Source organism: Homo sapiens, chromosome 7, assembly GCF_000001405.40.
Source record: "Homo sapiens chromosome 7, GRCh38.p14 Primary Assembly".
In the NCBI taxonomy this organism is placed as follows: Eukaryota; Metazoa; Chordata; class Mammalia; order Primates; family Hominidae; genus Homo; species Homo sapiens.
The window spans coordinates 70,294,548-70,312,406 of NC_000007.14; the positions used below are offsets into that span (position 1 = coordinate 70,294,548).

The 17,859-nt window shown below is 39.5% G+C and overlaps 1 protein-coding gene across 25 annotated transcripts in view; it reads left to right on the top strand.

Annotated features, from left to right (window-relative positions):
• AUTS2 (activator of transcription and developmental regulator AUTS2) overlaps positions 1-17,859 on the top strand; it is a 1,195,032-nt gene that overhangs the window by 696,073 nt on the left and 481,100 nt on the right. The gene's annotated exons all lie outside the window — the stretch shown is intronic.

Genomic DNA, 17,859 nt, shown 5'->3' on the forward strand with positions numbered 1-17,859 from the left:
TTTCTCTGGAGCTGCAACAGTAAAAACGATAAGCTTCTGCTTTGCATCCAAAATGCCCTGATGTTCCTAGCATGATCGTTTTTCCTTTGCTTCTTGCTCAGCACCATTCGGTCACAGGCTGGTTTGGACAGGCGAATATGAGCACATGTAGCCCAGAGGACTTTGATATCCAGTGGTGATAATAGACAAGGCCTGTCTTCCATTCTGGTTGCCACTGGTCTGTGACAACCAGTGTTCCGGGCATGGTGAGCATAGTGCTGCTTCCCTTCTCCGTTAAATAGGAAATGCATAAGCCTGGAGTCGTTTTGTTTGTTCCACAGAAACGTAGCAGTTGAAATAATTGCCTTGCCATGCCCAGGCTAACAGGATTTATCTTCCATTATAGATCATGAAGACATAGGCAAGAATAGTTTACTCCTCTAAATTTACTAGGCTACTCACTTCGAAATGATTTCACTGTGTAAAAGAGAACAGTCCTAGCTGTGGCTTAGCCTAGAAAGGCTTTGATACCTAGAAAGATGAAGGGCAGAAGTGTATTCTCTATTTTTCTGCTCCCAGCTCATAAAATAGAATTGGAGTTTATGTAAATAGCAGATAGCCTGATTTTATTTTTTATGCCCCAGTTGCAAGTTAGTGTCTCCTTAAGATGGGTCTTAATCACTGACGTTGTGTGCTTCCATTCAGCACCTATCTGTCTATTAAGTGGCATTCTAGTGGCCTCCAAGAGTTGAGTACTTTATTCTGATCAGAGTCAGCCTGGGTGACCAAGATGGGCTGTATCAATCTGTTACACCTCAGACCCACTGGAGGCCACAATCTTTGAGTGTCTTTTGGAAGATACTGTCCTATGTTGTTCTAGAATGCTGACTCCTACTGCTTAAACCTCCGTTCTCTCTCTGTTTTTATCTTAGGCCAGATGTCCTTTATAAATTTTGATTTTTTGTTTTTTGGGTTTTGTTTTTGGAGTTTGGATCTCTTAGTTTTCATCCTGAATACTGTTCCACACTGCATATTTAATCAGTTAAATCTTGGTCTCCTGGCTTTGACCATCAAATGTTACTCTATTGCCTCAACTCTATTGAGTTACTCCAACTCAACTGCTCCCACCTCAGGGTCTTTCACTACCCATTCATAGGCAGTAGCCCCTTGTTTCTCTTCTTCGTGAAACCTGAGTTTTCCTTATTGTACTTATCTCAGGCATTAATGGATCTGTGAAGAAGTATGACGTTAAGCTTAAAGGATCAAAAACTGGGCTTCCCTATGTATGTTTCAAGTTTCATTTGTGTGACCAAGAGAGTTCATAGTATAGATTTGAAGAGTTCAATCAAGAAGCTAAGATATTAACTCATCTTAGTAATAGCCTTTTGTCTACTTCATCCATCTGCCCATCTGTCTGTCAATCTGTATACATTATTGATAACTTCCAATGTTGTAAACACTGGGAATACCAAAAAAAAAAGAATGAGCCATGCACCTTTCCTTCGTAATGACTACATTAAAGCCCCAAGACATGAAGCTACTTGCTGAGCCTTGCAGCTGACCTGTGGCATAGTGGAGACTAGAACCCATTTCTAGAGGGATCTTCCTCATACTTCCCAAGGTCAGTTCTCTTTAGGCCTTTGGTATTCCTGTCTTAGTTGTTGTAAGAGTAGATTTCGACTCATCAAACATTTGTGATTTGGAAGTATCGCATAGTTGAAGAATTGAAGAAAGCTGATGGGAACAAAGTCATTTTCAAGTTTACTTGAGCACATAGATATCATGTTGACTACTTTGCTGAATATTCAGAATCATTTATATTTAGTATAGTAAAAGTGAAAAGTATCTGTTTTTAAAATTTGGAAAACACACGAAATACAATGAAGAAAACTAAAGTAACAACCATTTTACTACTCTTTTTATGTATTTCCTTTGAGTAGATATCAAATATATCAGCATTTTCAGCATATACGTACAGTTTTGTGTCCTGCCTTTTTCCCTTCAACTATATAATCAGCATCTTCCCACATCGTGAGATGTGAATTTTTTGAAAACATGATAATTAATGCAATATGTTATTTCAAAGTAAAAACTTTTTATTTAACTATTATTGTGTGTGTAACTTTATTTTCTGTGTTTAGGTTGTTTCTGATTTTTCACCCTTATCAACCATGCTGAGGCATGAACTTCCTATTAATAAATCATTGTGTACATCTGTCAGTATTTCCTTAGGATAAATTTCTTTTAGTTCTATTACTGCATCTGAGGAAATTAACATATCAAAGCTATTGATATGTATTTCCCTGGGTATACATTTTTTTTTTTTTTTTTTTGAGACAGTGTCTTGCTCTGTCACCCAGGCTGGAGTTCAGTGGTGTTATCACAGCTCGCTGCAGCCTGGACTGCTTGGGCTCAAGTGATTCTCCCACCTTAGCCTCCTGAGTAGCTGGGACCACAGGTGTGCACCATAATGCCTGACTTTTTTTTTTTTTTTTTTTCAATTTATAGAGACAAGGTCTCACTATGTTGCCCAGGCTGGTTTCGAACTTTTGGACTCAAGCCATCCTCCCACCTTGACCTCCCAAACTTCTGGGATTACAGATGTAAGCTGCTATGCTAGGCCTCCCAGGGTATACTTTTAACCCTGCCTTACACCACCCAGAATTCAAAGCATGGAATCCTTGACCCAGTAGCCAGAGTATTTCTTATCTTAAGTTTAGGAAAGACTACTCTGTGGTCAAATGTAGTCACAGAATTTCTTTCCAACAAAGCTGTCTACGTAGTTAACTGAGAACCGTCTCCAAAGGGTTGTTCCTCTTGAGGGAGGTTTCAGAGAAGAGATGGCATTGATGTAAGTCTTGAAGAAGTTAGAGCTCAAAATATTGTGAAGAGGAAGATAATTTTTTTTTTTTTTTTTTTATCGAGACAGAGTCTCGCTCTGTCACCCAGACTGGAGTGCAGTGACGCATCTCGGCCCACTGCAAGCTCTGCCTCCCGGGTTCACGCCATTCTCCTGCCCCAGCCTCCCAAGTAGCTGGGACTACAGGCGCCTGCCACCACACCCGGGTAATTTTTTTTTTTATATTTGTAGTAGAGATGGGGTTTCACCGTGTTAGCCAGGATAGTCTCGATCTCCTGACCTCGTGATCCTCCCGCCTCAGCCTCCCAAAGTGTTGGGATTACAGGCGTGAGCCACCACACCTGAACGATGAATTTTTCTACCAGGACAAACAGGATGTTCAGAAGGAAGACATTGTTAGAACTGTACATAATCTTAGACATCATCTATCCCAGTGGTTTATCAAATATTTTCACAGACAAAACATTTTTTCAAGCCAAATCTTGTCTAGAGTACTACAAACTGATTGAAGTGAAATGTCTCCAGTTAAATCACAGTGGATGGGAGAGCTCGGAATTGAGGGTAGAACCTCCTTTGCTCAGCTTTCTTAGAGCTTCCTATGCACCTGAAAAACCCAAAGCCTCTTTTTTTGGTTTTTTTTGGGTTTTTTTTGTTTTGTTTTTTGAGACGGAATCTCACTTTTTTGCTGAGGCTGGAGTGCAGTGGCACTGTGTCAGCTCACTGCAACCTCTGTCTCCTGGATTCAAGCAATTCTTCTGCCTCAGCCTCCCGAGTAGCTGGGATTACAGGCGGCCACCACCACGCCCAGCTAGTTTTTATATTTTTAGTAGAGATGGGGTTTCACCATGTTGGCCAGACTGGTCTCGAACTCCTGACCTTAGGTGATCCACCCACCTCAGCCCCGCAAAGTGCTGGGATTCCAGGTGTAAGCCACTGCACCTGGCCCAAAGTCTCTTTAAAAAACAAATTTTAAGTCACTCCAGTTTGAAGTTTAGGACACAGAGACAAACTGTGACTTTCCTCAAGGTCAGTCAGAAGTGATTCTGAAACCACCTTTCAGTACTTTAACCCTGTCCAAAAGCAGCCATTTTAGTGCTTTTATCACTAGATGTTCCCATGCAGGTTGAGAGAGATTATTTCTGTTCTGTTAGGTTATGCATTGTTGCAGTGTCCCAAGAGATAAAGTCCCAAGATATTAATGTAAGTATTAGCTTCTGTAAGATGTTACCCCAATCCATATTAACCATGTCTGGCTGAGGCATGAAGGATCTATTAAATTATATCCAGGTTCCTATTAAATCACTACACTGGCAGTAATACCTGGGCTCACCTTCTCCTTAACCCAAATTAACACATGCTGTTAGTGGTCTCAAGTCTAAGGCAAGTTCCTGAGATGAACAAGTGACTGGGAAAACAGGAGAGGAGAAAATTAAAATAAATGATAGGCTGACCTTCTCACACCACTTGTGGTTTCTCAATTAACCAAAAGCCAGACAGCTCCACGTTGCTGTTCTCTCAGTAATAGGTTTCACCCTCCCATTTAATGCCAGCCCACACGGGTGCACACACAGACACACACTTTGCTAATCAGATTGGCAGCAAATAGAATTAAACCATTAAGGCAATTAAGCAATTCTTAGATAACATTTGATCAGTTCAATGAAAATGCAAATTCATTCTTCTTTTGGAGAAATAAGTTGATGGAAAGTCATTTCGTGTTCTATAATCATAATTAACTCTTTTCCAAATAAAGATTGCAATGTTTTGGGCTTGGAGCTACACAGATGGAAATGATTTTTTTCATTTTTTGCTTCACTCTGTTCATCCTTTTGTAATGCACCATGTTTTTCTGCCTCCAGACTCTTTGGGACATTTAGGTCATCTTACCTACAATCTCTTCCTTGTGCCTCAAGGCAAACTCTGTTATTTACTCTCACACATGATGACTCATGCATTAAACACCTCCTTAGACCCTGAGTTCGGAATAGATCCTACAGCATTCTGGAATGATTTTGGTCGGATATTCATGTGTTGTAGATGCACTACTTGGCTGCTTCTCATTTCTCTCTATTCCCCACACTTACGGTTTCTCCTCTCTCACAAGCTGGTGGGGAAGAGAATGTTGCACCCAAAAATAGGTGCTTGAAAATGAGCGTGTGGTGTCTGCATTTTCATTTCTAGATTGGTATCATTGAAGCCTACGTTCCATTCTGCCACCACAGCCTGAACTTTCAGCAAGAAAATGATGAGCACCTTGCAGCCCGTGCTTCCCTCACCTGCCAAGGTGCCTTTGTGCTCTAGCTCAGGGTTTCCAAACCTGGTACATCATCAGCTGGGGACATTTGGAAATATTTATAGTCCACAGGGTTTTAATCCAGACCTATAGAATCGGTATGTCCCAGGTTTGGCTTAGGGATTTTCTTTTGCTTTTGTTTTTTTCCTTTAAAAAAAAAAAAATCTTTCTGTTTGATAATAGGGATCAGCCAGTCTTAAGTCTAGATGCCATTTTTTTTCTACATTGGAGACCATAACATGTAGTCTGATGCATGATCTGTCAATGACACAGAAATCACTTGGATCCAAAGAATTTTATGATAGCCTTGCTTATAAAGAAAAATAACACCTTATGTGGCAGGTCATTTTATAGATACACACATATGAATAGTCCACTGCATCATGCGTGTGTATATGTGTATATCAAGTGTCTTTAGAGGTAGGTAAAACATAAGAGGCAGCTGTTATCACCTAGGGCAGGGGTGTCCAATCTTTTGGCTTCCTTGGGCTACATTGGAAGAAGAATTGTCTTAGGCCACGCATAAAATACAGTAACACTAACGATAGCTGATGAGCTAGAAAAATAATAATAATAATGGCAGAAACATCTCAAAATGTTTTAACAAAGTTTACAAATTTGTTGGGCCACATTCAGAGCTGTCCTGAGCCACGTGCGGGCTGCGGGTTCCACAAGCTTGGCCTAGCTAGATATTATATTTAATGTATCTCCTTTTCAGTCTTAATAAAGTATTGCAGCCAACTCCCATCCAGCAGGACACATGGACTTAGTGTGCCTACCTGCAGGTTTTTGAGCATGAATGTAAATATTAATAGAAAAATTGTGAATGCTTCTCAGGAATGTCACCAGTGATTTTTTTCCCCCAAAGAAACCTTTAGTTTTGCTAATCCCTTTACTAGTACATGTTTGTAGAACACATCTTTTTGAGAATTTTTTGGGGATACTGATCAGCTACTATTAAAGCCATCAAGCCAGCGGTGCCACCAGTGTCACAAGGAAGAACGATGTTTTGGGAAGGGATTGAGCTCAGCATTCCAGGAAATATTTTTTACCTATTCATTACTGCATGCATAGGCTTACATTTTCTCAATTTAAAAATACTTCTAAAGGGTGGGCTTTTGGGATGTAGACACATAATGTTCTCAGCAATACTGTAAAGCCTCATTAATTTGCTAAACAAATAAGTGAGATGGTAAAGGATATTGCATAGATTGTAAGGGCACATTTAATCATCTGAGGTTTAACTGGCTCTAAAGGCAACACCTTTTCAAGCTCTTAAGAGTCTATATTTACATGGATAGTAGGTCTTCTTCCTTCATTAAACTTGCCCTCTAAGACCTTTTAGCTGTTAGTTAGAATTACATTTTGAACTTCAGGATAATTCTATATTTCTTTCTTAAAATAAATTCTTTATATGAGCATTTAGACCATAATTCAAACTGAGGTTTCCTATAAGTTCTGTGTTATATTTTATTTGCGTGCATAGTGATATTCATACCACATCTGTTAAAGTATGAAGGGAGGAAAATGTCAGCAAGTGTATTGTGTCTCTGCTCACAATAATTTTCCAATGAAAGTTCACTTAAATGAGGGATTCATATATATTAAGGACTGTTGTTGGTGATTAGTACATAAAAATGTGGGTTTTTCTCATAAGTGGTTTTAAAACTTCAGACTGAGTACCTCTTTTGTTTAATTTTTGCACTTCTTGGAGGCATAAGGTATTTTAGTATGTGTGGATCTTTTTTATTGAGTTTGCATAGTTTAGGAGTTTTTTGGCTTAAAATAAAATAGGGAAAAAAAGCTCTCTTAAAATAGTATCCTTTCTTGAACCCATAAAGTAGGGCTTTGAAGACGTGCAACATTTGTGAGGTTCTAAAGAGGGGATTTTGTGGTGTTCTTTCCAGTGCTTCCTTCCTTCCGTCCTCACCACCCTGCTGTAATCTGATAACAAATAACTTTCCAGTCAGTCAATTTAAATTATATGTAGGCTGCAATTTTTTAAAATTTCATAATGGATGCTATTTAAACACAAACATACATTTAAAAAAAATGCCATACTAAAGTCCAAAAGGAATGGTGACAGACATTTTATTTATTTAGAGACAAGTTCTCGCCCTGTCACCCAGGATACAGTGGTGTGATCTTGGCTCACTGCAACTTCTGCCTCCCAGGCTCAAGCAATCCTCCCACCTCAGCCTCCCAAGTAGCTGGGACCACAAGTGTGCACCACGATGCCTGTGTTTTGTTTTTTGTGGTTTTTTTTTTTGGTATTTTTTGTAGAGGCGCATTCTCGCCATATTGCCCAGGCTTATCTGGAACTCCTGAGCTCAAGCTGTCTGCCCACCGCACCCAGCTGACATTTTAAATATTTATTTATAGAGCTTCATTATTTGTACAGTGCCCTTAAAGCCAAAGGCATTGATTAGGCTTATAGAAATTGCAATTAGGCCATGCACAGTGGCTCATGCTTGTAATCCCAGCACTTTGGGAGGCCAACGTGGGAGGATCGCTTGAGCTGAGGAGTTCGAGACTAGCCTGGGCAACATAGCAAGACCTTGTCTCTAGTAAAAATTCAGTTTAAAAAAGTGGGCATGGTGGTGCAGGCTGGTATTCCCAGGAGGCTAGGGTGAGAGGATTGCTTAAGCTGGGGAGATTGAGGCTGCAGTGAGCTATGATTGTGCCACTGCACTTCTGCCTAGGTGACAGCAAGACCTTGTCTCAAAAAAAAAACAATGTAGTGAGTCATAGTTATACTAAATGGGCTTGAATACTATAACTAGTTTTAGTGTTATAGTCATTAAAAAACACCATAATTCCAAATGGATATACCAATTACTGCTTGCTTATCTTATGCATCCTTTTCCTCTCCTCTCTATCCCCCAAAACCACTCTTGAAATCTTCCTGTCCTTTTGCTCTTATCCTACCTGGCCATCTATCCACCATTTATCTAGTATAATTTCCATAATAAAACCACCAGCTTGCATTAGTGTGTTGGTTACTTCAAAGGTGGCTAAATTAGAGACTTTGGTTAAGGACACCAAATTCTTACCAATTTGATGGTCTTGAGGGGCAGGCTGTCTGGCTCATCTCTTTTCTATCTGCTGCCCACCTTTTACTGCCTGCCCCACTAAGCACTTCTCATCATGTCCGAGGAGAGAGTAAGTGGGTGCGTGCATGCGTGCTGCAAGTATCTGCATGGCATTCTTTTTCCTGAAAGATCTTCTTTTTTTTTTTTTTTTTGGCCATCATTTCCATTCTGTCCTAATATATCCTTTCTCTTTAAAAACCAGCATCTAGCCAAGGCATTGATGAAAAGTTTTCTTTGAGCTCCCTTGTGGCTGTGCAGAAGAGTTTATTCCTGAGGTTGCTCTCATTTAGGGTTGGAATCTTTGAAGATAAAATACTTCTTCCTACCTCTCACTTGAGATCAAGGAAACCTACATAAGACTCCCAGAGCAAAAGGACCCTGTAACACTTGTGCCTTGGCATTGCCATATGCTCTGTTGCGCAGGAATGGGGAGGAACGGCCATCCACATGCCACCCCCACTTCCACTCGGAAATAATAGGGGGTGACAAATGGCTGCTGCATTCTATTCTGTTTTACCAGGCTGTTTCTTTCCTGCCCTCAAGAGGTTTCTGACTTTCTGACAGCAGGGAGCTGAGGTTGATCTAGCAACTGGGAGGATTGCACCTGGATTTGCAGAAATACACATGCACATGTGTGCACGCACACACACACGCGCGCGCGCGCACATACACACACACACACACACACACACACACACACACAGTGCTGCTGCAACTCCCAGAGTATCACATAATCACTCTTCTGGCTTTAGTGGTTTTCCTTTGGCCACACTCTGCTCTTGTTTGGCTTGCTAGCACAGTAATCAGAGGAAAGACAGAGACTCTTTGCACTCTAATCCCCTTGTGGGTTACAGTAGTTTCAGATAGAAGACACTCCAGAGGGTGCTATACAATTTGGAGGTTTATAAAGGCCATCTTCTGGCCCCCATTTCCCTTTAAGAAATGAGCCCCTCAATCTGCATTATACATGTTCCCTTACTGCTAGAAGGGTTTTACTGGTGCCCTGACACTCTTCTCTTCCTCACCCCTCCCAGAGCAAGAACTACAAAAACATAGTTTTTTTCTCATTTTCTTTTAGATGTATCTGCTGCCATTTATTTTCTCTCTGGTGATTGTGTGATATAGGAAGGGGAAGCATCAATGGCTTCTTTATATCCTAACCACATTCCTTGACTGGGCCCTGTTTCACATCTCTGACTCCTCTAGAGATTACTCAGCCAACATGCTGCCCCTCCTCAGCGCATCACCTTCTTGGGTCTCAGGGCTTGGCATTTTCATTCAGCCTTGCAGTTCCATGCTCATCACCAACACTGCAGACATCTGCTGCCACTTTCCTGCCTAAAGCAAGGGAATTCCTGTGATTCACACCGTGAGCAGAAGCAGGGGTCCTCTTCTACTCAGCATTATCCCAGTTTGTCTCACTCCTTTAGCCAATATCATGAAACTCTGAAACTTTATAGCAGGATGAAAACTTAAGCCTGTAGTCTAAAGACCCAGAATTATGAGTGAGGAAACTGAGGCCAGGAGAGCCATGAATGATAGTGTTTACTTGATTGCTGTTTCAGATTTCACCAGCTTTTATTGATACTTCAGCATTTTACTTAGTCGATATATCTCTTCGTGTGACTCAAAGTATCCCAGTGGAGCACAGTTAACTGCCCTGGATCCGAATTGCCACTGGAGGCCGTGGCAGTGTCGGCATCAATAGGGATCACCCATGACCTTTTATTTGGGATGTAGTAGGGGGTCTGAAGTTGGGAAAGTCTGAGGTGGTACTCAGTTCTGGGTTGAATGTCTTGTGAAAATCCTGTGAATACATCTTGCGGAGAAACACAGAGGGGAAAACTTCCTGTTGTGAGAGCAGGGCTGGTTCCCTTTTAAAAAGGTATAGGATGAATATTCCATATTTGAAATACTTGAGACCAGAAGTGTTTTGGATTTTTAACTTTTTTTTTTTTTTTTTTTTTTGGAAATGCTCTGGTGAACATTTCCTTAGAGTGTCATGTGACACTCAAATAGTTTCAGATTTTGGAGCATTTCGGATTTGGGATGCTCAACCTATAATACCCAAAGGCTCTATTTCAGTAGAATTTATTGGTTTGCTGATTATAGCAGTGACATAGTTGCATTCTAGAGACCTTAGAAAATGCAGAAAATTTCAAGAAAAACATTTAAATTGTGCTCATAGTGAAACTGAGAGGTGACCACTCTTAATATTTTGTGGCATAAGCATTCCAGTCTTTTATCTTTCTCAAAGTTTCACATAAACTTTCTCAAAGGCCATTAAATACTTTTCCATAGCCTGATTTTTTGTGACCACATAGTATCCTATTATATTGATAATACCATAATTTACCTAACCCATTTTTATATATTTGGATTTTTTCCAATTCATCATTATTATGAATAATGGTGTATCTCAGTGGTTATTACTTTGCACTGCATTTCTTATGAAAGTATTGAGTAAAAGGAAGTAAAGCCCTCTCAGAGTGTTTTGTAGGCTGTCACATTTCACTCCATAATGTCCTAGTGTTTGTTGCCACCAGTGATATATGAAGGTACCCACTGAAATGTCACACCTTTTTGGTTTTCCTTTTTAAAATAAAAAATAAAAAAGACATTTAACCATATAATATTGTTCTTATATATGATTTATTATAATGTAGATTCACATCTTTGAGTTCATAAAAATATTGAATTTGGATTCTCTCCAATTTCCCTTTTAGTAGAAAGGCTAAAGTTCGGTAAGAAATTCTACTTGGAATTTTATTGAATTGAGAAACATACTTGGATTTCTGTAACTCATGACAAGTAACAAATAAACAATTAGCCAATTAATTAAAATATCTGTTAAAACCTTGAGTAATGCAGAGATTTAGTTAGGCAGTGTAGTTTAAAAAAATCAAACAAACCAGACCTATGCTGATCTCCTTGGAGATGACCATCAACAGGAAAGATAGACTTTAAACAGTGTATGTTGACATAGAGCAAGTTTCTAATTTTCCATCATTTCAAGGTGCTGGAAATTATATGGACATAAATGCCTTTATAATATGTGTACATCTGGTGAGTATAAATTCTCAGATTTGAGGACATTTCCAATAAAAGACTCACATACAAAGTATAAAACCAGTAAGCAATGGAATGCTAATCAAGTAATGAAGGATTCAGGAAAGAAAATAAAATTATGCCAAACCATGTAGGCCAAGAAATGCAAGTGGGAAAAAAAAAAACTTAAGCTGATGTCAAAGTCAAAATAAAATGTAGAGACAAATCTCTAAATTTAATGTTTTATTTGGGAATCATAGAATCACATTTGGGGCATGCAAACAGACTGGGTGGTCTTCAGCATGTCCAAAGAACAAAGGAAAGATTGGGGGTTTTATTAGAAAGGGAAATGTTACTTACAGTTTTGAAAGAAAGCTCATTGACCCTAGAGAAGCTTGTGGGAGCTGCCCGGGTCTGATTGGTGAGTGATGGTAGTAGATAAAACTAGTCTTAAAGTCATAGCAGGTTGTTTCAGCAGCTGCTAAGTAAAACTGGTCTTATGGTTACAGCAGGCTGTTTCAACAGCTGGGCTTGGAGAAAACTCAATTCTTGGAGCATGTGCTGTGTCTTGAGTACTTTTTCCCGCTGCTCTGTCAACTCTTCTTTAGTTGGGCATGACAAGAATGATGCAATTTGCATAATCAACTTTCACACTGAGTTTCCTGTAGCCTATACAAAACATAAATATTAGTGTTTTTTTACCTTTTTACAGTTTTTATTGTATTGTCTATTGAAGTGAAACATTAAAGTTATCAGAATAGAGAAACATTTGCCTATCACTACACATTGAGAAGATACTGTAAAGAGACTTGAACAAACACTGGGCAGTATGATGCGTAGAACTTTCAGTCTAGTTTTTACAAGAAAAAGAAAAGAACTGTGCTAACCATTTTGTTCATCAATATAAACTCAAGTAATGAGGTTAAATTGTAGTTCTTTGCAGAGTGCCTGGCCACCAGGTCCGTAATCGCTGGAGGTTTGATTAGATATTGAGAAAGAAATCTGCAAACCTTGGCAAAATTTGCTGCATAATTCCAAGACTGCTGGTTCTTAAATTTATCTCCATCAAAACACAGATGTCCTGTGAGCTGGACTAAGCCATCTCACTATCTATAATCAAATTATTGCTTTCTTTTTTTTCCCACTGAAAGATCGAAAAAGAAAAAATGGGTAAAAATTCTTAGATAACTGTTTTTGTAATGTGTATTTTTGTTGAACCTTGCCTCATTGTATAATCAAGTAACAAATATGAATAGAAAATACTATTGACTATGGATGGTACTTAGCTCAACAGCTTATTTTGAAGAGGAAACCATCATGTTTTTAAATATGAAACATAATCATGTACTTTACGAATAAAATTCTTCCTATTTCTTACAACAAAATTGAACATTTCAGGATTTAATGGTGTTCCATAGCCACTAGCACGCAGTAGCTCATAATTTCAAGGTGTTTGACCACATCGGTCAGTTTGAAAATCATACCTGACCATCACTATTGAACACCTGAAGTGCAAGCATCCATGATGGAGACTGGAGCTGTCCATTGGCTACTGCCTTTCAGACTAGGGGTGGCAAACCTGACCCTTTGTTATAAAAATGAAAGCCCTCAAACGTGTTCTTGTCCTCACGAAGATTTTTGTCTCTACTGAAATGCCTGTAGGCCATTTTTGGAAATTATAGCTAGTGTGCTCACTAAAGTTTTTCTTATGTGCCAGACACATGCTCTAGCTTTACATACAATAGCTGTAAACCTCACACAACCTTGTAAGGTAGAGAGCATTATTATCTGTATTTTATTGGTAGGGAAACTGAGAGGCTAAGTGCCTTGGCCAAGATCACCAAGTTATGAAATCACACGAAAGGAGAGCCTAGATCCCTCTACCAGCACTCCTTCCTCTATATGCACTGCCTTGCAGTAATCAAGACTTCACTAAAAGCAATTTCAGATCTCTGCAAATGTTTGAACAAGAGCTCTGTTGAAATGCCATAAAATATAGGATATAACCTTAGCTTTGAAACATTTTGAGGGGAGTTACCAACTTAAAAAAAAAAATGTTTACCTTTGAGCATAACCACATCCGAAAGAGTCACAGAGCTAGTCACAGAATGTACCCCTCGATAAGTAAACAACATAACCTGTTGAATAAGTAAGTAGTTTAGTCTTCTCTGCCTGCATGTTGCTAAAAATAACTTTTGCTTTGGTATAGAAGTTTTGAAAGTTGTGTAGTTCAATGAATATTTGTTGACAGTGATTGAAACTTACATTGTTTCTCTCATGCTAATCTTGCCAAGCTTTGGTGGTCTTCAAGTATTTGAAACAAGAAAGGGCCAGGCCAGAGCCCTCGTTTTCAGATATGGGACAACAACCAGGCTTTCTCCATTTGAAGGAAGAGGAAAGAGATAAGGGAATTGTTGCAGTGAATCCTGTGGGCCCCAGGAGTTATAACAATTGTTTTCTAGGACATACCCATTTCACTCTTCTTAATTTTCTGCCATCAGCATTTCTGGGGATGTACTAGGAAAATGGAAGGAACATACCCAGCTTCCAGGGTTTCAGTAGTAAAGTATAGACTAGTTTAAGAGCAAATTGATTAGATCACTTCTACTCCTATGATGTCCATTTCTCATATAAAGATAAGCTGAGAAAGGTTTATTTTAAAATTAAAGCTAGTTGTTTAAAAGTGCGGCTGAAGTTAACTCATGGATTGCCCTAAAGTATTGAGCTGTGATTATAAAAAAATGTTTACCAAATATTGTCACTATGGCTCTTATGTAGTGAAGAGAAGAATTTAGCCTTAAATTAGTTAAAATGTGCAAACCGTTTAGAACAGTGCTTAACATATAGTAAGTGCTCCATAGGTATTACCTATGCTTTAGAACAGTAGTTCTCAACTGGTGTACCACACGGCACAAGTATATCTTTATCCTTTCTCAGACATGTGCCGAAACATCTATACACATATTAATTTTTTTTTGTATAGCCAAATATGTAGGTGAAGTGCACACTGATGTTTCACTTGGCTGAATAAAATAAGAGGTGAGAGACACAGTGTAATGTCAAGTCTTTGCTTACCAGAGTGAAATGGGGCATCGCCTTTCGGGTCTATAGGGGTGCACTGAGCAGTCCCGTTAAAAAGGCACATGTTCAAAAAGACTAACCAGGTGAGCAGCATGTTAATTACCACTGCTTTTAAGAACACTGGAAAGGCAAGTGGTTGTATGGTAGTAGCAATTACATTGTAATTACTGTGACTTAGTTAGAAGTTTTTGAACCCCTTTTGTATTTCAAATTGCCCTGTACATACAAAGTGGGTCAGAACCATCAGTTAAGAATTAGTGGGGTCAGTTCCTGTCTGTAGCTATTAAAGTGATTTATTTATTGTCTTATAACATTATACTATATTAATTTACACATAGCCTTGGAAAAACTCTTTCTCAGACTTCTAGGCCAGAGTCTAAATACATTTATGAAACTTCTCAGGACCAGGTTTTGATAGTGCGGAGATCAGGGAGAGCCTAAAATCATAAGACTTCTCTAATAGAGTTAGGTCATTAAAGAATATGAATATATGAAGAGTAGGGCATTAGAGACAACATTCTATACCTAACATTTTGGTCCAAATCCTATAAAGGTTTCTCACATAGAAAGCTGCCTTTTTGCATGTACTACAGCTTGTGTCTCTAATATCCTTTCTGTACCAATACACACCACATATCTGATTATTGTTCAAATACTCCTCTTAACTTACCAATGAAAGCTTCAGATCACTTAAAGAGATTGCAGATACTATAGTGAACATAGTAGAAAATCATTATTCTATTGTATAGTAAAACCCATGAGTTACATCTAAAATGTTACTACTGTTTTTATGTAGTCTTTAAAAAAAGAGATTATGAAGGTTTACAATTATAGTAAAACTTATTAAGTAGATGCATCAATAGGAAAAGAAACCATTATCCTTTCAACCCAGTCCTATTTCATAAATAGCACATCAGCGCTTCAGTGATTAAGAAACATGGCTCATCTTTGCAGCATGTTGCTTTTATTACTTTTTGCCCACGGACCTAAGAGGGGAGAGGTAAAGTGATAGAGGAAAAAGCTCCAAGGCAAATCAAGTTCACATATTTTTATTTAAGGATTCTAGGAACTCGAAGACTGAATCAAACTTGTTACTTAGTTTTTCACTGGAATAATGGCTCTATTTCTATAGTAGAGTGAGTAGAAGGTTAATGGTATCTGCCATTGATGGTTTACTAACTGGTTAAATAACTGATTGAAATGTGGTAAAGGGAGATGAAAACAAACTAAATCTTTTTTTTTTTTTTTGGCCCAGATTTTCACGTTTAGATGCCATGAAGCTTTTGATTGTGGGTCTAAAGACAAACTGTGACAGTGATTGGAGGCTTCTTTTAGGGGTCGGGAGATATATGGAAGGACAAGGAGGACAGAGGAATTCAATCTCCTATGCAGTCTCTGCACCTGTTCACTAAGAAATAAGTCAGCTGAGGCCGGACGCGGTGGCTCACGCCTGTAATCCCAGCACTTTGGGAGGCCAAGGTGGGCGGATCATGAGGTCAGGAAATCGCGACCATCCTGGCTAACATGGTGAAACCCCGTCTCTACTAAAAAAATACAAAAAAATTAGCTGGGCGTGGTGGTGGGCGCCTGTAGTCCCAGCTACTTGGGAGGCTGAGGCAGGAGAATGGCGTGAACCCAGGAGGCGGAGCTTGCAGTGAGCAGAGGTCGAGCCACTGCACTCCAGCCTGGGCGACTGAGCGAGACTCTGTCTTAAAAAAAAAAAAAAGAAAGAAGTCAGCTCAGTCCAGGCAGTAGACTTTGGGGTGGGCCTTGATGGACCATAAGACCTTTGCTGCCCTGTGACTTCTCCCTTAGTTCTCAGTCTGTTCAGAAAACAATTTGCAACAACATCAGAGAGAAATAGAATGCAAAACACAGCTCCCTTTTGATGAATTGGCTCCTGGCTCGGCCTGCAAAAGATAACATGGTTTTTCCCTTAGAATACTTGTCATGCCAAAATGATGGTATCGTCCTACTGGGGTTTTTAAATGTTAATACAAGTAAAATAAGATGGATTTTTTTAAAAAATGGCAAGCGTTTCTTAGTTTGGCTCTCTTGGCTTTTGTTTAAAACTGAAGATCACTAAGCCTAGATTTTTGTGTCTCCAGTTTAAAAAAAAGTAAATTTCAAAAGCAGTTCCTAGAACTCTCCCTCTCCATAGGCCTGTTGTGAGATGCCTATGTCCCTATAAGTGTGCTTCAATCTACCAGCTTTCCTAAAACAGGTTGATGGCTTAGTGGATAAAGATGGGACTTACAAAGCCTATTGATTCTCTTATTGTACTCATCTGTAGAATGGGAATAGCAATGGTACATGCTGATCTTACATGATGTGAGGATGTGATGAAATAATACATGGAAGGTATTGAGACTACTGTCTGGGTCATAGCAAGCAGTTTTGCCATTATTATATTTGTCATGACAGTTTTGCCATTATTATTAACCCAATAATAATGTCGTGTCCCCTTTCTCCATTCTTGTCTCCCAAAGATGTCACACATTCATTATTGCCAAAAAACATTTTTAAAGCTTTCTGTTTTTCTGGTACTTGCAGTGTGGCTGACGCCAGTAGGGTATAACTCCTCTGAGAATGGGTGCTGAATTCTGTTCCCAAGGCCTATGGGGAAATCTCTTTTTGTTGTTGTTTTTTGTTTTGTTTTGTTTTGTTTTGTTTTTTGTTACAGTCTCGTTCTGTCACCCGGGGTGGAGTGCAGTGATGCAATCTTGGCTCACTGCAACCTCTGCCTCCCGCATTCAAGCGATTCTTGTGCCTCAGCCTCCCTAATAGCTGGGATTACAGGTGCCCGCCACCACACTTAGCGAATTTTTTTTTTTGAGACGGAGTCTCGCTCTGTTGCCCAGGCTGGAGTGCAGTGGCGCCATCTCTGCTCACTGCAAGCTCCGCCTCCCGGGTTCACACTGTTCTCGTGCCTCAGCTTCCCAAGTAGCTGGGACTACAGCACCCACCACCACGCCTGGCTAATTTTTGTATTTTTAGTAGAGACGGGGTTTCACCGTGTTAGCCAGGATGGTCTTGATCTCTTGACCTCGTGATCCGCCCGCCTTGGCCTCCCAAAGTGCTGAGATTATAGGCATGAGCCACCGCGCCCGGCCACACTTGGCCGATTTTTGTATTTTTAATAGAGATGAAGTTTCACCACATTGGCTAGGCTGGTCTTGAACTCCTGACTTCAGGTGATCCACCTGCCTCAGCCTCCCACAGTGCTGGGATTACAAGCGTGAGCCACCACACCCCGCTGGGAAATATCTTAAAAGAATCAAAATAAGAAAGTTACTCTACTTAAATCGTGTGCTTTTTCTGTGTGTGATTTATGGTAATCTTACCATGGGGTATCTGATTACTTTAGAAAGATCCATTTAGCTTATTTTTTTCTTCTTTGGGTTATTTTTTTCTTCCTTCCATTTGCACAGCCTCCCCCCAAATAAAAAATAAAGATATAAAGTCTATCTTCTCCCTCTTGTCAGTTTAAGTAAAAAGAACTTTTG